Source organism: Homo sapiens, chromosome 7 (assembly GCF_000001405.40).
Source record: "Homo sapiens chromosome 7, GRCh38.p14 Primary Assembly".
Taxonomy (NCBI): domain Eukaryota; kingdom Metazoa; phylum Chordata; class Mammalia; order Primates; family Hominidae; genus Homo; species Homo sapiens.
The window spans coordinates 75,878,687-75,897,033 of record NC_000007.14 but is presented as its reverse complement, the minus strand read 5'-3'; the positions used below and the strand labels follow the sequence as shown (position 1 = coordinate 75,897,033).

General features: G+C 52.5%; 1 protein-coding gene across 9 annotated transcripts, besides 4 other annotated features; it reads right to left on the bottom strand.

Annotated features, from left to right (window-relative positions):
- On the bottom strand, positions 8,108-18,000 carry RHBDD2 (rhomboid domain containing 2). 9 transcript variants are annotated; one of them, NM_001346186.2, is made up of 6 exons: positions 17,774-18,000; positions 16,719-16,788; positions 15,548-15,669; positions 14,798-15,205; positions 13,186-13,336; positions 8,108-9,042 (listed from the first exon to the last, which is right to left on the bottom strand). In NM_001346186.2, exons 4-6 carry the CDS (start codon positions 14,958-14,960, stop codon positions 8,685-8,687), a joined length of 672 nt encoding a protein of 223 aa, NP_001333115.1. In that variant the 5' UTR covers positions 14,961-15,205; positions 15,548-15,669; positions 16,719-16,788; positions 17,774-18,000; the 3' UTR covers positions 8,108-8,684. The 9 variants fall into 9 exon arrangements, 7 of the variants coding, with proteins under 7 accessions (NP_001333115.1, NP_001035547.1, XP_047276611.1 ...); NM_001040457.3 differs by lacking the exon at positions 16,719-16,788; XM_047420655.1 differs by lacking the exon at positions 17,774-18,000 and having other exon boundaries at positions 15,544-15,669.
- Positions 17,620-17,799: a silencer, noted in NCBI's record as "silent region_18301". NCBI's record gives its function as "represses an Ori minimal core promoter by ATAC-STARR-seq in GM12878 lymphoblastoid cells {active_cell/tissue: GM12878}" and the evidence as "EXISTENCE:reporter gene assay evidence [ECO:0000049][PMID:35858748]".
- Positions 17,620-18,304: a biological region, named in NCBI's record as "H3K27ac hESC enhancer GRCh37_chr7:75508048-75508656".
- Positions 17,696-18,304: an enhancer, noted in NCBI's record as "H3K27ac hESC enhancer chr7:75508048-75508656 (GRCh37/hg19 assembly coordinates)". NCBI's record gives its function as "activates a minimal SCP1, AML or CMV promoter by ChIP-STARR-seq in naive H9 embryonic stem cells {active_cell/tissue: H9 hESC(naive)}" and the evidence as "EXISTENCE:reporter gene assay evidence [ECO:0000049][PMID:30033119]".
- Positions 17,900-18,149: a silencer, noted in NCBI's record as "silent region_18300". NCBI's record gives its function as "represses an Ori minimal core promoter by ATAC-STARR-seq in GM12878 lymphoblastoid cells {active_cell/tissue: GM12878}" and the evidence as "EXISTENCE:reporter gene assay evidence [ECO:0000049][PMID:35858748]".

The window sequence follows — 18,347 nt, the reverse complement described above, 5'->3', positions numbered from 1 at the left end:
GATAGCACCCGCGTGTCCTACATTCTAGATTTAGTGAACAAAAACACAGGACTCAGCTTTCTCTCCTTCCCTGGGACTCACGTCAAGGCCTAGGAGTCCTTGAGGGCAGAAATCCAGGGCCTGGTCCCATCCTTTGAAAATGTGTGAAATGCAGGGGTGAGGGGAGGGAGCCATGCAGGCAGCCTCCTTAGCTGGTGCTGGAGGAAACTGACCATTCCCTGCTTCCTGGCTTCAAACTCATGTTCATTCACAGAGCACGGGGCTGCGGGCTGCAAAGAAAGAGCCCCACAGAACTTGGAGGACAGCAAGGAAGGCACACAGATACCCGCCAGCTTACTGAGCAGGACAGGTGCTCTGTGGGGTATTGGAGATGCCCTGGGTTAGCGGGGACAGAGTGGAGCAGACACTAACCTGTCATTTCATCCATGCCACAGCTGGTTGGGGGAGGTCTCCATGCTTGTCCCTGCCATGGGACATAAAGGGCCTGGTCTCAGCACTGCCCTGTGCAACATCTGATCTACTGTCCTCAAAGCCTCCGTACATCCCGATGGTCCTCCTGGCACTGGCTTCTGTTCCCAGTGCACAGCGCGGCTTCTCACCAACCTCACTCTTTCTCATTCTGCAGCCAGAAAGCCTGCAAGGCCCCCCAAGTCATCCCAAGCATTGGCCCTGGGAATAGCACCTCCATCTTGATTTTTTTTAATGAGCCAGAGTCTCATCTTCTTGCCCAGGCTGGAGCACAGTGGTGCGATCATAGCTCACTGCAGCCTCAACCTCCTGGGCTCAAGTGATCCTCCTGCCTCAGCCTCCCTAGTAGCTGGAACTACAGGTACGCCACCACACCTGGCTAATTAAAAAATTTTGGGGGCTGGGTGAAGTGGCTTACGCTTGTAATCTCAGCACTTTGGAAGGCCGAGATGAGTGGGATCACGAGGTCAGGAGTTCAAGACCAGCCTGGCCAACATGGTGAAACCCCGTCTCTACTAAAAAAACACAAAAAGTACCTGAGTGTGGTGGCACACACCTGTACCCCCAGCTACTCAGGAGGCTGAGGCAGGAGAATCGCTTGAACCCGGGAGGTGGAGGTTGTAGTGAACTGAGATTGCGCCACTGCACCCCAGCCTGGGTGACAGAGTAAGACTCTGTCTCAAAAAAATAATAATAAAAAAATAAAAATAAATTTTGGCCAGGCACAGTGGCTCACACCTGTAATCCCAGAACTTTGGGAGGCCAAGGTGGGTGGATCACCTGAGGTCAGGAGTTTGAGATCAGCATGGCAAACATTGTGAAACCCCATCTCTACTAAAAACGCAAAAAAAAAAAAAAAAATTAGCCGGGCGTGGTGGTGTGCACCTGTAATTCCAGCTAGTTAGGAGGCTGAGGCAGGAGAATCACTTGAACCCAGAGGTGGAGGTTGAGTAAGTTGATACCATGTCACTGCACTCCAGCCTGGGCGACAGAGCAAGACTACTCAAAAAAAAAAAAAAAAAAAAATTTTTTTTTGGCTGGGCGCGGTGGCTCATGCCTGTAACGCCAACACTTTGGGAGGCCTAGGCGGGAGGATTGCTTGAGCCCAGGAGTTCAAGACCAGCCTGGGTCATATAGAAAGACCCAACCTCTACAAAAATTAGCCAGGTGTGGTGGTGTGCACCTGAAGTTTCAGCAACTTGGGGGGCTCAGGTGAGGTGAGAGGATCGCTTGAGCCTGGGAATTCTGGGCTGTGGGGAGCCATGTTTGTGCCACTGTCATTCCAGCCTGGGTGACAAAGGGAGACCTCCATCTCACATAATTTTTTTTTTTTTTGTAGAGTTGGGGGTCTCACAATGTCGTGCAGGCTGTTCTCAAACTCCTGGTCTCAAGAGATTTTCCCACCTCCACCTCACAAACTGCGGGGATTACAGGCATCGGCCACCGTGCCCAGCCTGTAACAAATTGTTAAACAGACAACTATAATTTCATGACAAGGCTGGGCATGGTGGCTCACTTCTGTAATCCCAGCACTTTGGGAGGCTGAGGTGGGCAGATCGCTTGAGGTCAGGAGTTCAAGACCAACCTGGCCAACATGGTGAAACCCCATCTATACTAAAAATACAAAAATTAGGCCAGGCGCAGTGGCTCACGCTTGTAATCCCAGCACTTTGGGAAGCTGAGGCGGGCAGATCACGAGATCAGGAGTTCAAGACCAGCCTGGTCAATATGGTGAAACTCTGCCTCTACTAAAAATACAAAAATTAGCCGGGCGTGGTGGCGCACGCCTGTAATCCCCGCTACTTTGGAGGCTTGAACTCAGGAGGCAGAGGTTGCAGTGAGCTGAGATCATGCCATTGCACTCCAGCCTGGGCGACAGAGCGAGCCTCCGTCACAAAAAAACAAAAAACAAAAACAAACAAAAAAACAAACAAAATTTAGCCGGCCATGGTGGCAGGTGCCTGTAGTCCCAGCTGCTCAGGATGCTGAGGCAGGAGAGTCGCTTGAACCCAGGAGGTGGAGGTTGCAGTGAGCCGAGATCGTACCACTGCACTCCAGCCTGGGCAACAGAGCGAGACTCTGTCTCGAAATAATAATAATAATAATAATAATAATAATAATAATAATAATAATTTCATGAGAAACCATAAGGCCGAGTTCACATTCCTAGTCCTCAGAGTTCCACGCTTGGGGATGTGGTGTCACTTGTCCCCACTCCCCGGCCCCATGGGCCACTGGCTGCCTTTCTCTTCCCACCGCTGCTCAGTCTGCACCATTTGGGGCCTCCTGCACCCTCCCCCCTTAGATGTCCTGGCCCACACACTCACACTTGGGACACACCCTCTGCCAACAGCAGCCCCTGGGCCTGGGATGGGCACACTGCTGGGGGATTTGTCCTCAGGAGGATGGACTCGGGTTGAGGTCCACAACACCCCTAGAGCCAGGCAGGGGGCCCTAAGAGCAGAGAATTCCAGGATCCCAGGGCGTGCTCCAGAAGCCAGGAGCATGGGTTTCAGGCTAGCATGGCCCTGAGAAGCACAGGAACCAGGCAGGGGCCCCTTTGCTCAGGCCCAAAGACCATAGTGTGCAAAGGCATGCATGCGTATGCACACACATACACACACTCACATACACTTCCCATGTCAAGGTTTGTCTGCAGAGGGAGCTTCACCCACCCATCTTCCTAGCTCATCTTTCCAGCTCTCCCTGTCCTGTCCTGGACCTCTGGGCCTTTCCCCAGGACCTTCTCCCCTACCTTTTGTGTTTGAGAGAGTCTCGCTCTGTCACCCAGGCTGGAGTACAGTGTCACGATCTTGGCTCACTGCAACCTCTGCTTCCCAGGTTCAAGTGATTCTCCCACCTCAGCCTCCCAAGTAGCTGGGACTGTAGGCGCCTGCCACTACACCTGGCTAATTTCTTTTGTATTGTTTGGTAAAGACGGGGTTTCGCCATCTTGGCCAGGTGCAGGTCTCCAACTCCTGATCTCAAGTGACCCACCGAACTGGGCCTCCCAAAGTGCTGGGATAACAGGCGTGAGCCACCACACCTGGCCTAAATTAGCCAGGCATGGTGGCGCATGACTGTAATCCCAGCTACTCGGGTGGCTGAGGCACGAGGATTGCTTGAACCTGGGAGGCGGAGGTTGCAGTGAGAAAGCAAACCTCCTTCTCTTTGCTGGCTTCCTCGAGAGGGCAGAGAGGGGAAGAGTGTGGGGCACTCAGGTCGTGGGACATCTGGGCTCCCTCCTTTCAGTGGGGAGTCTGGCTCTGTCCTCCCCAACCTCTACCGGTAGGTAACCTTTCTGTGCACCTGGAGCCCTGTGAGTGAACAAAATATGGACCACACCTGGGAGCAACAAAGGACTCACAGGAGCCTCAAGGGTTTTAAATTGCCTTTCCTGCCAACCGCAGGAATGCGCCCTGGCCAGGCATAGAGAGGAGGAGTGGGCCTGTCACATGGCACTGAGAAAGTGCAGCTCACCTTTCCGCCGAGATGCCAGCCACGTGAAAGAGCCAGTCCCCCGGGGTGAGGCCTGGGGCTCAGGCACTGGGCTCAGACTCCCTGGCCCCAGTTCTGTGCACAGTAAAATGATCAGAGAAACCTTATCGTGGTCACTACCACCCACAGCGTCAAGTTGAAACCCTCAGGCTGGCCTTCCAAGCCCTTCCCACCCCGGCCTGGGTGGCCTCTCCACGTCCTCTGAGCCAGCCCTGTGTAATCTCCCACACTCCACTTTCTTGTCCTAACAGGCGGGACACAGCTGTTTTTGGTGCACACCGCCCTCTTCCCCTGGAACGTCTTTTTCTTTTCTTTTTCTTTCTTTTTTTTCTGAGACAGTATTTCTCTGTCACCCAGGCTGGACTGCAGTTGCACAATCTCGGCTCACTGTAACCTCTCGTGTTCAAGCAATTATCCTGCCTCAGCCTCCTGAGTAGCTGGGATTACAGGTGTGCACCAGCACACCCAGCTAATTTTTGTATTTTGAGCAGAGATGGGGTTTCGCCATGTTGGCCAGGCTGGTCTGGAACGCCTGACCTCGTGATCCAGCAGCCCTGGCCTCCCAAAGTGCTGGGGTTACAGTCGTGAGCCACCACGCCCAGCCTGGAACATCTTTTTCTACGTTCCATAGGTCTGGCCAGCCCTTGAGGCCAGCAGAGACCTTGCCTGGGTCCTACAGGACTGGCTGCTTCTCCCAGAACTGGTACCTCCTGGCATTACCGTGGGTTTCTGTCTCCCTTAGAGACTGTGCTGGGACCAGGTCTTAGTCACCTCTGTGTCCCCAGCCCCTGGGATAAGGCCAGAATGTAGTACATGCTCAGTAATTATTTGATGAGAGAATGAATGAGTGAGCGAATGAATGAATGCGTGAAAGGGTGAGGGAGGGGGTGACCAGGACTCAGGCTCCTGGGATCTGTGGCCTTTGGCTGTGAGTTCCCCATTAGGCCAGGCAGACAGGTCATCAGGACGCAGAGCACCAAGCAATAAGCATGGGTGGGGCCTCCCAAGCCCACGCTGTCCTTGTGCAGATGTCCAGGGCAACAAACATTTATTGAGCACCTGCTGTTTGCATCACCCGTGCCATGCTCCTGCAGCCACTTTGTCATGTTGGGTGGGCGTGCTTGGCCCATTCCCTCCTGGCTCTCTGTTCTCCCTGTCCACCTGGAAGCTCTTCACCTGCTTCTCTTCTTGGATTCCTTCAGGTCTCAGCAGAAATGTCACCTTCCCAGGGAGGCCATCCTTGACCACTGGATTTACAGTTGCTGCTCTTTTTTTTTTTTTCTGTGACAGAGTCTCACTCTGTTGCCCAGGCTGGAGTGCAGTGGTGCGATCTCAGCTCACTGCAACCTCCACCTCCTGGATTCGAGTGATTCTCCCGCCTCAGCCTCGCGGGTAGCTGGGACTAGAGGCGCCCGCCACCACGCCCGGCTAATTTTTTTTTTTTTTTTTTTTAGTAGAGATGGTTTTTCACTATGTTGACCAGACTGGTCTTGAACTCCTGACCTCAAGTGATCTGCCCGCCTCAGCCTCCCAAAGTGTGGGATTACAGGCGTGAGCCACTGTGCCCGGCATGTTCTTTAAATGAAAGAATGATTCAGTAAACAGATGGGCGTGTGAAGGAATGACATAGCTCAACCCACGGCTCCCACAGCCTTTATCTTGCCTTGTAATTACCTGCAAATCAACTTCCTACACGGTACTCAGTTCCTTAGAGCAGGGGTTCGCAACCTCAGGGACCACCAACTGGCACCAGTCTACCCATCTGTCACTGTCTCCCATCACCCCCAGATGGGACCCTCTAGTTGCAGGAAAACAAGCTCAGGGCTCCCACTGATTCTGCATTATGGTGAGTTGTATAATTATTTCATTGTATATTAACAATGTAATAATAAAGTGCACAATAAATGGAATGCACTTGAATCATCCTGAAACCATCCCCATACCTGTCTGTGGAAAAATTATCTTCCACGAAACCGGTCCCTGGTGCCAAAAAAGTTGGGGACCACTGCCTTAGAGTATAAGGGCAAGCCTTTCTTCTGATGTCCGCGCTGAGGAGCAGAGCCTACCTGAGGTTTGCAGAGCGAGCAGGGCATGAATCTGCTTCTCTGCTGCCCTCCGCCAACCGAGCAGGGAAACTGATAATGTCTGGAAGCTTCTCTGGCCGCTGTGGGTCCTGCCCTGTCTGGGGATGGGAGGGGAGGGGTTTCCAGCATGTTGGGGGTAATGCTTTCACTTATGCTTAATGAGCTGTGCTCTCCATCCTCCTAACAGCCAGAGGACATGGTTAGTACCCTCCCACCCTCCCTCCACAGCCCCCCTCTCTTTCCATGGAAGGGTTGGTCCTCAGGATCCTGCTGATCCCCAGCTTGTCAGGCCATGCTGGGCTGGGGGCCTCCTCTGCGCCCCTGAAGTGCTGCTTCGCCCCATCACAGCTTTGCAGGGCACTGAATGACAAATGTTTTTTTTTGAGAGGGAGTCTTGCTCTGTCACCCAGGCTGGAGTGCAGTGGTGTGACCTCAGTTTGCTGCAACCTCTGCCTCCTGGGTTCAAGCAATTCTCTTGCCTTGGCCTCCCGAGTAGCTGGGACTACAGGCGTGTGCCACCATGCTCAGCTAATTTTTTTTTTTGAGATGGAGTCTCACTCTGTCACTCAGGCTGGAGTGCAGTGGCATGATCTCGGCTCACTGCAACCTCCGCCTCCCTGCCTCAGCCTCCCGGATAGCTGTGATTACAGGCGCCCACCACCACGCCCGGCTAATTTTTGTAAATAGAGACAGGGTTTCACCATCTTAGCCAGGCTGGTCTTGAATTCCTGACCTCGTAATCCACCAGCCTTGGCCTCCCAAAGTGCTAGGATTACAGATGTGAGCCACTGCGCCCGGCCAATTTTTGCATTTTTAGTAGAGATGGGATTTCACCATGTTGGCCAGGCTGGTCTTGAACTCCTGACCTCAAGCGATCCGCCCACCCAGACCTCCCAAAGTGCTGGAATGACAGGCGTGAGTCACTGAGCCCGGCCTGAATGATAATTATTTTCCATTTCTTCTGCTCCAATGAGCTCCCCAAGGGCGGGCATCACCTATTCATCCGTTCATTCCACTCATATTTATTGAGTGCCAGGCCCCATGCTAGGGGCTCCCTGCGCACATGGGGCTCATCATCATTGAGCCTCCGGCTTGGCACAGAATCAGTGAATGGTTTCCGGACATGGGCATATTAGTGGATGATTTGACAGGCAAATGGGAGAAGGGGTTGGGATGGCCTCCAGAGCTTCCAAAATGCACGTGAGGGTGAGAAAGGGTCCCACTGTGAGCTGACTCCAGGCTGTGTTGTGCATTGTGGCCAGACTAAGGAAAAGTCCCAAGGAACAAAGAGATTTAAAAACCAGGGCCACACACAGTGGCACACCCTCTCACCCCAGCGCAGGCCCCTTCTTGCTCATGTCTGAGGCCCCCCCAGGCGTGGGCCCGTCACGGCCCCACCCTCACCAGGCTGGATGGGCTTGGGGTTCTGTCTTATACATGTCCAAAGACCTAAAACCTATCAGAAAGCCAGTCTAGAATGGGCCATCCAGCTCCTGGGATAAATGAAGGCCACGTGTTACTAGGTCCACAAAACACCAGGCAGCTGGCATGCCTTCTCAACACAGCCTGCCGTGAGGAGCCCCAGCTGTCCTCAAGGGCTGGCCAGGTGAGTGACAGCTCAGCCACACTCATCAGTGCCCTGCACTGTCTCATAGAGGCCCCCCGCCCCTCACTCCTGGTTCCTGGTCAACATGGCCAACAGGAGACACTGGTGGTAAAGCCAGCGTCTTCTCCCGTCTTGCTTCAGGGACATCGCCAGCAGTGCCCATGTCCTTCTTGGCACAGCCCTGCCAGCAGCCCTCCTAACTGTAGTCCCAGCTTCTGGGCTCTGGCAACACCCCTCTCTCTCAGGGCAGCAGTGGCTCCTGCTGGTACCCATCTCAGTTGCCTGCTCCCCACGAGACCCCCATTCCTGACCCACTGGGCCCTGGTCACCTGCCTGACCTGGCCCTGGTGCATCTCTCCTCTCTGCCGCCACACCACACATTGCCACTGCCCAGATCTCAGCGCACTCCCTCTTCCCCAGCCAGACCACAAAGGAAGCACACGCCAGCACGGCAGGTCAGAGGCTGTTTCTTTATACAAAGGCAGACAACATGGACACCTCAGCATGCTGCTGCAGTTCATGGGGGCCCATCCCACCGCTTCTGGGGAGAGGAATCGGGGTGGGGGCGCCCGCAGCAGGGGAGAGACACTACACAGGCCTGGGACCGCCAAGCACACCAGCTGCGAGCTCCTGAAGGGCAGACACATGGACACACGGACACTGAAACCACGAGCACGGCACAGCCACAGGGAGGAATGGTGGAGCTGGGGACAGACATCGGCAGCTACTGCCAACTGCTGCCCTCTTCTGCCACGAGTTCCTTGGCGAGGAGCCTTGTCCGTGTTACTAAAGAGCCACGTGACTTTATCTGATGGCAGAACGTCTCGCTTTCTGCATCTGTAAGCTGGGCCAGTACACCGTACTCCACAGGGCTGCCGTGAGTACAGATGAGACTGAAACAGGGGCATTGATCAAAGTACCCAACACAGAGCCTGGCACATAGAGGTGTTCAATAAGTAACTTTTGTCAGGAGACTCTTAGGGAGGACCTTCAGAAGGCCAAGTGAGATGACTTCCCTAGAAATTCTCTCAGGGCATGGGGACCCTGGAGGACTCCTTGGAGCCTGCAGCCCCTGGTGTGCCCAAGGCCCCAGAATACACCGTGCCAGGGCTGTTCACAGGCGTGGGGGGCTGGATGCCCAGGGAGGTGCCCGCAGAAGCTGGGTAGACACTGGAGGAGGTGGGGTTTGGACCAAAGTGGTTCTGCACATAGCACAGGCCGGAGGCAGGCTGGTACGGAGGCAAGGTGGGCATGTGCCCGGGGGTGCAGGAGGGCCAGGAGGCCAGCTTCTGACCACTGGCGTGCTGCGTCTGGGACACAGGGTGGCTTGGGGACAGGTGAGGGTGGCAGCTCTGTGTGGGGTAGGAGCCAGGCACCGGGTTCAGTCTGGAATGGAACAAGAGAGAAAATGGTCCTTCAGCGAGTCTTGGCAAGGTCATGGCATCTTGTGCTTGAGGTTGCCCCCGCTTTCTAGTACAACATGCCTTGGATGTTTTCTGTGACTTGCTCTAAGTACCAAGTGGGAGAAAGGTTAACCTCAACCAATCAGACCACAGATGCCCAGGGAGGGTGGGGCCAGTTGCAGTCCTGCAGCAAGGGAGTTGTATGAAAGGACACTGGACCTGCCACTGAGACCACCGGAGGGGTGACCTGCTCACAGCAGCTTCTAAACCAGATGGAGCGTTGGGACCAGGTCACAGCTGCCAGTGCCTGTGTGGCTGGCTCGACAATTCTGCCCAAAGAGAACGGATTCAGGCTGGGCATGGTGGCTCACACCTGCAATCCCAGCACTTTGGGAGGCCAAGGCGGGTGGATCATCTGAGGTCAGGAGTTCGAGACTAGCCTGGCCAACATGATGAAACCCGGTCTCTACTAAAAATTAAAAAAAAAAAATTAGCCAGGTGTGGTGGCAGGCGCCTGTAGTCCCAGCTACTCAGAAGGCTGAGGCAGGAGAATCGCTTGAACCTGGGAGGCAGAGGTTGCAGTGAGCCAAGATTGTGCCACTGCACTCCAGCCTGGGTGACAGAGCAAGACTCTGTCTCAAAAAAAAAAATTGTTTTTTTTTTTTTTTAATTAGCCAGGTCTGGTGGCATATGCTTCTAGTCCCAGGTACTTAAGAGGCTGAGGTAGGAGGACTGCTTAAACCCAGAAGTTTGAGGCTGCAGTGAGTTATGACTGTGCCACTGCACTCCAGCCTAGGCAACAGAGCAAGACCATGTGTAAAAAAAAAAAAAAAAAAAAAATTATCTATCAACAAGAGCCTCTGAGGAGACAAGCTGTCCAAACGGCCATCTTGCTGACAAAATAAACATGCGTGTCATGACATGGCCCTGGACCCACTGTCAGGCTGCCTGAAACACAATATTCTGAGTGTCTGCAGCAGGCACCAGACCTGAGGGACTGGACTCCATGTCACGTGGGGAACACAGAAGGAACACCATCTTCCTCTTAAACCCTAAGATCTGCCTGTCACAGTGAGGCAGGATCAGACCTGGCACTGGGTGTGGCAGTGTCTGTGAGGCTGATTGCAATTCAGCATGGAAGAACTCTTTTTTTTTTTTTTTGAGACGGAGTCTCGCTCTTTTGCCCAGGCTGGAGTGCAGTGGCGCGATCTCGGCTCACTGCAAGCTCCACCTCCCAGGTTCACACCATTCTCCTGGCTCAGCCTCCCGAGTAGCTGGGACTACAGGTGCCCACCACCGCACATGGCCAATTTTTTGTATTTTTAGTAGAGATGGGGTTTCACCGTGTTAGCCAGGATGGTCTCGATCTCCTGATCTCGTGATCCACCCGCATCAGCCTCCCAAAGTGCTGGGATTACAGGTGTGAGCCACCGCGCCCGGCCCTTCAGCATGGAAGAACTTTCTCATCAGGGCCAGTCTTGGAGAGTGAGCTCTTGTATGTGAGATACAGCTGGAGACCACCATCAGCTATTACAGAGGGGATTCCTTGGTGACAGACAGTTCTCCAGATTCAATGAGAACAACTAAAACCCACAAAACACCTAGTCCTAAATGTACAGTCTCCCCCACATTGAGACCCCAGGAATTACTTGCCTGAAGCAATAATGCGGTGAGTCCGCATTTCTGTTTTCCCAGCAGCCCTCCTGGCCTTTTAGAAAAATAGTCCAAGGGCTCTGAGCTGTTGACAGCTGGGAGCACCTCTTGGAAGAAGCTCTAAGGGCAGCTTCCTATTCAACAAAAACCCCACATCCAGGCCAGCGTGCAGGGGAAAATTTACTCCACAGCTGGTGGCGGGCCAAAAAGGGCCAAGGACCAAGCACCTTGCCTTCTGATACACTTTGGATGTTTCCTCTGCTCCAAATCATGTGCTGAAATGGATCTTTAGCCGGGTATAGTGGCACGCGCCTATAATTCCAAGTACTTGGGAGGCTGAGACAGGAGAATCACTTGAACCCAGGAGGTGGAGGTTGCAGTGAGCTGAGATCACGCCACTGCACTCCAGCCTGGGCCACAGAGTGAGACTCCATTTCAAAAAAAAAGAAACGTGATTCCCAGTGTTCCAGCACTAGAGGTGGAGCTCAGTGGGAGGCGTCTGGGTCACGGGGGCAGACCTTGCGTGAGTGGCTTGGCTTCTTCCCCGTAGTAATGAGTTCTCCCTCTGAGTTTAGGTAAGAGCTGGGTGTTTAAGAGCCCAGCACCTCCCTCCCTCTCTCAATGTGTGGTGCCGCCTCCCCTTGCCCTATGATTGGAAGCTGCCTGAGGCCGGTGCCATGATCCTAGTGTAGCCTACGAAGCCATGAGCCAAATAAACCTCTTTTCTTATAAATGACCCAGGCTCAGGTATTTCTTTATAGCAATACAAAATGGATGAACACGCCTTTCCCAGCGAGCTCCTTTTTTGGGGGGAGGACCACTGAAGGAAAGAAAAAATCCTACACTGTGAGGTCTCAGCATGGACAGAAACCAGCGGAGAACTCAGAGGCAGGAGGCACTGGGAACAGGGGAGAGGGAGGGAGGTGGCCTCCTAAGCAGGGGACGTGCTTCCAGATGGCCCCTCTCCTGACTCTGTTACCTGGAAACAGAGTGGGTGAGAAAGACCCTTGTCTTCTTTGGGCCTCCTCTATAAAATGAAGCAGCCAGGCCACACAAGCTCTGGCGGCTTACCAGCACTTTCCATCTGTGAGTTAATCAGCCAACTGGAAAACAGTAAACCTCACCAGAAAACCTGGGCTGGGCCACCTCCTAAGCAGCCTAGTTGGCTGTGTGGACTGTCTGCACCTTTTTTTTTTTTTTTTTCTTGGGAGACAGTGTCTTGCTCTGTCAACCAGGCTGGAGTGCTGTGGTGTGATCTCGGTGCACTGCAACCTCCACCTCCCAGGTTCGAGTGATTCTCCTGCCTCAGCCTCCTGAGTAGCTGGGATTACAGGCAACCACCACCACGCTTGGATAATTTTTGTATTTTTAGCAGAGATGGGGTTTCATCACGTTGGCCAGGCTCGTCTCAAATTCCTGACCTTATATGATCTGCCCACCTTGGCCTCCCAAAGTGCTGGGATTACAGGCGTGAGCCATCGCACCCAGCCCTATCTGCACTTATCGAGGCTATTGTGTGTCACAGCCCAGGCTGACCTGCAGCAGGTATGTGTCTAATGTCAATTAGATGGGGGCCCTCCTGCCCAGCCTATCTACAAGTCACTCAGGATCACATGTTAAGTGTCCTCAAATGCCTTCCCTTTCCTGCTGTTGCTACTTCAGAAGCAGTTGTGCAGAATCCAGAATGCTCAGAAGACATCTGTGCATTATTTTCCAATCTGCCGCACCTCATTTCTTTATCACTTACGGCAATAAACCAGCCACACCCTCTGCATGCCCTGGAGTTGCTTTAATAATAAGGTTAGGCCAGGCTCAGTGGCTCACACCTGTAATCCCAGTACTTTGAGAAATCAAGGAAGGATGGATTGAGACCAGGAGTTTGAGACCAGCCTTGGTAACACAGTGGAGACCCTGTCCCTACAAAAAATTTAAGTTAGCTAGGCATGATGGTATGTGCCTGTAGTCTCAGTTACTTGGGAGGCTGAGGTGGGAGGATCACTTGAGTCCACGAGTGTGAGGCTGTAGCGGGCTATGATCATACCACTGCAATCCAGCCTGGGCAACAGGGCAAGACCCTGTCCTCAAATAAAAAAAAGAATAAAAAAACAGAATAAGATTTGACAGCATTTGGCCGGGGGCAGTGGCTCACGCCTGTAATCCCAGCACTTTGGGAGGCCGAGGCAGGTAAATCACAAGGTCAGGAGTTCGAGACCAGCCTGGCCAACATGGTGAAACCCCATCTCTACTAAAAATACAAAAAAATTAGCTGGATGTAGTGGTGGGCACCTGTAATCCCAGACACTGAGGAGACTGAGGCAGAAGAATCACTTGAACCTGAAGCAGAGGTTGCAGTGAGCCGAGATTGTGCCACTGCACTACAGCCTGGGTGACAGAGTGAGACTCCGTCTCAAAAAAAAAAAATAATTTTTTTTTTAAAAAAGATTTAACAGCACTTAAGAGTTCTGTCACTTACTTCCGGCTCTGGGCTGCCCTCCTCTCGGCTGAAGACCCTGAGACGTACTTGAACACGGATATCCTCCTCATCAGGCTGAAGGGGAAGGTCTGATCGAGCTTCAGTGCCACTCGCTCTGAGAGGTCGATGGAATAGCAGTAGGTGAGGCCATCTGAGGTTGGCGTGTTAAGTGAAACTGGAGGCAGCAAAGGGAGGAGGGCCGAACACTCCCCGGGGAGAACACAGGTTCCCACTCACTCTACAGAAGCCTTCATGCTTAGCACGCTGCACACTCTGGCTGGAGTTTGCAGCTCAGGGGAAACCCAGAGCCAAAGGTTTGTTTTTTTTTTTGAGATGGAGTCTCACTCTAGCAGCCCAGGCTGGAGTGCAGTGGTGTGATCTTGGCTCACTGCAAGCTCCGCCTCCCAGATCACACCATTCTCCTGCCTCAGCCTCCAGAGTAGCTGGGACTACAGGTGCCCGTCACCACACCCAGCTAATTTTTGTATTTTCAGTAGAGACAGTGTTTCACCATATTGGCTAGGCTGGTCTTAAACTCCTGACCTCGTGATCTGCCTGCCTCAGCCTCCCAAAGTGCTAGTATTACAGGCGTGAGCCACTGCGCCTGACCCCAGAGCCAAAGGTTTCTACTCACTGTGCCTCACCGGGAATGAATGCGCCCAGCAGCAGGGGGTATTAATGCTGTCCCTTCTCCTACACCCATGTGTGCCACCACTTGCACCCTTCTAGCCACTGCAGTCAGTCAGAAGCCAGGACATGCCTCTGCTGGTGTAGCAGGATAAGGCAGGAGGCTGTACCAGTATCATCCTGAGGGACTAACACCTCGTCCTTTTATCTCAAATAGAGGGCACCTGCCTCAGTGCGACCATGTGAGCTTCATGTGGGCCTCTCTGGCTGTGCTTCCTCCATACCCTGTCACCATCCCCAGCAACTTGGTGGTATCCTGGTCGTCTGACCTAAGTCACCCACCACTGATTAGGCAGCCACAAAGATTCAGCCTTTGAATAAAGGCTATGCTAGACTCTCCCGAAAAGAGCTTAGAAACAAACCTCAAGTTTCAAGCCAATCTTCAAGTAAGTTAACCGCCTATCAGAACAAAAGTCAACATTTTTTAAAGGAAAACAACAAAATCTAGAGCCCCTAATACAGCATTCAGTGTCTAGCATAAAATAAAAAATTACCAGATATGAAAAAAAAAGTAAAAAAAAATTATGATCAGATATGACTCGGCCACGGTGGCTCACACCTGTAATCCTAGCACTTTGGGAGGCCACGGTGGGTAGATCACCTGAGACCAGGAGTTCAAGACCAGCCTGGGCAACATGGTGAAACCCTGTGTCTACTAAAAAGAAAATATAAAAATTAGCCGGGTGTAGTGGTGCACACCTGTAGTCCCAGCTACTCAGGGGGCTGAGGCAGGATTGCTTGAGCCCAGGAGGCAGAGGTTGCAGTGAGTTGAGATCCTGCCACTGCACTCCAGCCTGGGTGACAGAGACTCTGTTTCGAAAAAATACAAAGTAAGCCCAATTTTATCTACTTGACACCCCAGACCCTCCAGCCTGGTTCACCCTTTGACATGCGTTGTTCTATAGCTCTCTGCTAGGAAGGATACAGGCCAGCCCGATGGACAGCCCGCAGACATTACTGAGGAAAGAGGTCTGGGGAATGAGCCACGAGGCACCCAGCAGGAGCCACGGAACCAGGACTGAGGGCACAACCATGCCAAACACCAGGGCCCGCCTCATCCGAGAACGGACGGTGGTGACTCCCAGCATGGCAAAGGCCACTGGGGTGAAACCTCTGGCATCCTCCACTTCCCCCAGCTTTGACAGTGATGACACAGCCTCGAATGACAGGAAGATGATAGCGGAGAAGATGGCGAAGATCACGGTGAAGAAGCAGTGGCGGACGGTGCCCACGGTTCTCTCGAAATTGCCAGCAAAGCGCCAGATGATGATAGCGCCGCAGAGCAGGGAGATGGGATTCTCGTAGACAAAGATGTAGGTTACCAGCCTGTAAACTGCAGAGGGAGTCGGGTTAGAGGCCTGGCGGCGGGTTGCTCCCAGGAGGGAAGCCAGGTTATAAGCCGCCTAGGAAAGGCAGAGAGCCCCCCTCCGTGACAGAGAAGTGAGAGCCAGTGAGTCGCAGCAGGAGGCAATACAAGCAGTGCGTTCAACAATGAAGGACCCAGAGCCTCAAAGGAGAGGCATGAATATCTAATCCCTACACTTCCCCAGGCCTGGTGCAACTCTTAGCGGTAACTGACTTCCAGAGGGAAAAAAATAATACTTTTCGGTAGAGGGCAGTCTCTGAATTTGTAAAGTGCTTTATAATCCTTTTTCAGGTTTTCATACTGACCTACCTCACTGGGCAGTTTGAGGGTTAATTAAGTGTAACAGCTTCGGGGTGGATTGAGTGGGTGTCACTTAACACTCTGTGTGCCAGTCTCCTCTGCTGTAATCCTGACCCCTCCTTCCATAGTGGCTGTTCAGAGGAAGAAAAAAGGGACCATGAATTATTTTGCAGCTGTAAGAATTATAACACTATCATTAACAATAAAGATTATAGAAATTATAAGTCTCCTCAGAAAGTGCTTATCCGATCTCACAGGTAAACTGATGCTTTATATGTAATAAGACATCAAAGAATCCTCCTTTTCCTTTTTTTAAATTTTTATTTGTAGAGACAAAGTCTTGCTACGTTGCCCAGGCTAGCCTTGAACTCCTGGCCTCCAGTGATCCTCCTGCCTTGAATTCCCAAAGTGCTGAAACTACACATACGAACCATCATTCCTGGCCTTTTATTTTTCTAAAAGCAGTTATCGCCAGGCATGGTGGCTCACACCTGTAATCCCAGCATTTTGGGAGGCTTAGGTGGAAGGATCACTTGAGCCCAGGAGTTCAAGACCAGCCTAGGTAACATAGTGAGACCCCCGTCTTTAAAAAAAATTTAAAAATTAGTCAGGTGTGATGATGTGTACTTGTAGTCCCAGCTACTTGGGAGGCTGAGGCAGGAGGCTCGCTTGATTCCAGGAGTTGAACGCTGCAGTGAGCTATGATTGCATCTCTGCACTCCAGCCTGGGTAAGACGAAGACCCTATCTCTAAAAAAATTTTAGAAGTGGTTATCTCTTAAGTATTTTTATGTCCCTGCATGCCCAAATACGACTAAACTCAAGGAGAGAGACCAAAGAACTGATGGTAATATTGGACTTGGGAGTCTAAAGACTTGGAGTGGAATCTTGGCTCTATTACATCCAGGCTGGCTGAGTTTAATCATGTCACAGGTCCTCTAGGCGTCAGTTTCCTCACTGTAAAGTAACAAGAGTTAGATTGAGGACTTCAAAGGTCCCTTACGTCTCTAACGCTCACATATCCACGAAACCCACACCCAGGGAAGCAGTGAACCCCAGAAAGTGGGAGGTTAAGGTTAGGTTGGCATTTTGCTTCTGTCTGTGAGGTGGTGCTATGTATACCTAGGGTGGGGGGAACAGTTTTAGATTGGAGTGGGGAAGCAGGCTATGGAACCATATACCTCAGTCTGGCCATCACCAGAGGCTTCATTATCTGAAGAGTACTTCATTATTTGTTGAGTATTTCCAAAACTGAAATTCCAAGTATAAACATGAAAAGATTCTAGAAGCAACTGTACATGATTTGGAGATTATCTACCCGAAGGCTCTAGTTCCAAAACATCACAGAATAAAAAAAAAAATATAGATTCCTATCTCAATTGCATGACGCAACAGCTCTGCGATTCTCTGCATGAAACCTCAATCTTATCTAGATAACGGGCCAATAACAGGTCCTACGTCATGGGATCCTTGTGAGGGTTAAACGAAATTAATACATATCAGTGTGTGTGCTTTGCAAAACAGCAGGAGATATGCAAATTTCCTGTGTTCCTCTCGAGAAAATGAGGAAGACACGGAGACTAGGAATGTCTTTCAGGAATGGATGTTTATACTTAATTGGTCTGCAAAATTTCTCTCCCCTAGAGAAAAACAAACACTTCTCTCCAAAGGCAGAAGACACCCTGGTACCCCCATGAGCTGGGAATGGCAGTCAAGATTAAGATACAGATGAAAAAGCAGAAGAAATTCCAAATCTCAAGAGGGCAGGACGTTTATAGGGCTTATAGGGGTTTGTGGATAAAGTCCAATTGTCGTGATGTAGGTGAGAGAAAAACGTTTTTCAGTGGGGCTTAGGCCTAAAGCAGACGTAGGTGTGTATGTGAAATGGGAGGGGGAGACGAAAAATCTTTACCCTTGGAGAGCGAGCATGGATTTGCTAGCGAATGGATTTGGGGCCTTAACCAGTCTGGTGGCGACAGGGAAGGGAACAAATTCGGGTAGGGAAGGGATTACAGTGATGACGAAGATGGGGTCTGCAGACAAAGGTGTGGAACACGGAGAGCAAGAGACGGTGCTGGAGGTCGGTCCTCCGGGGGGCGGGCATGGTGATGAGGACCGAGACAGGGGGAGACTGGCGGTGAGGCCTGAAGGGGCGAGTCCCGGAGGCTAGAGCCCAGGAACCGGCAAAGTCGGAGGACAAGGACTCGCCCCGCGATCCCGGCCCGCCCCTGCTCACCTTGCCAGTTGCGAAGGGCCTCGGACTTCAGCGTGAGGCCCGAGGGCGCCAGGGGCTGCTGCAGCAGGAACAGGCGAGGCCCGGAAACCAGCAGCGAGAGCAGCGCAGTGAAGAAGGTGGCGGATGGCACCTCGGGACACAAGCACCAGCTGCGACACCCGGGCCCCGAGGCCGCCATGGCCGCCGTCGTTCCCGCGCCCCGCCTCGACGCCGGCTGCCGGTCCTCTGCTCCTTCCGCCTCCTCGCGGCAGTTTCCCTTGGCAACAGCAGAGGAGCCGGCCGGAGGCCACGCCTCCCAGAGGCCCCGCCCCATGCCAAGTTGTCCAATCCGGTAGCGCCGATCAGCCCCCCCCCCCCCCCCCCCCGTGCGTGGGAGGCCGGGACGGGGGGAGGGGGGTCGGGGCCACTTCCGGGTAGGAATGTTCCAGCACCGTGTTTGATTCCATCCTACTCGGGCTGGTACTGAAACTGCTCCTATAAACTTTAGGAAATTAATCAGGGAAGAAGGGAGGGGGAAAAACGAAAATAAACGAAGCTTGCAGCACACTCTGCGTTCATCACTAGGTCACCTTGC

Coding starts and splice junctions, on each gene's coding strand:
- RHBDD2 (NM_001040456.3), bottom strand. CDS start 17,951: ATGGCGGCCTCGGGGCCCGGGTGTCGCAGCTGGTGCTTGTGTCCCGAG. Junction 15,206..17,773: donor GGCCCTTCGCAACTGGCAAG/GTGAGCAGGGGC, acceptor CTCCCTCTGCAG/TTTACAGGCTGGTAACCTAC. Junction 13,337..14,797: donor GCTGTCCATCGGGCTGGCCT/GTATCCTTCCTA, acceptor CGCCAACCTCAG/ATGGCCTCACCTACTGCTAT.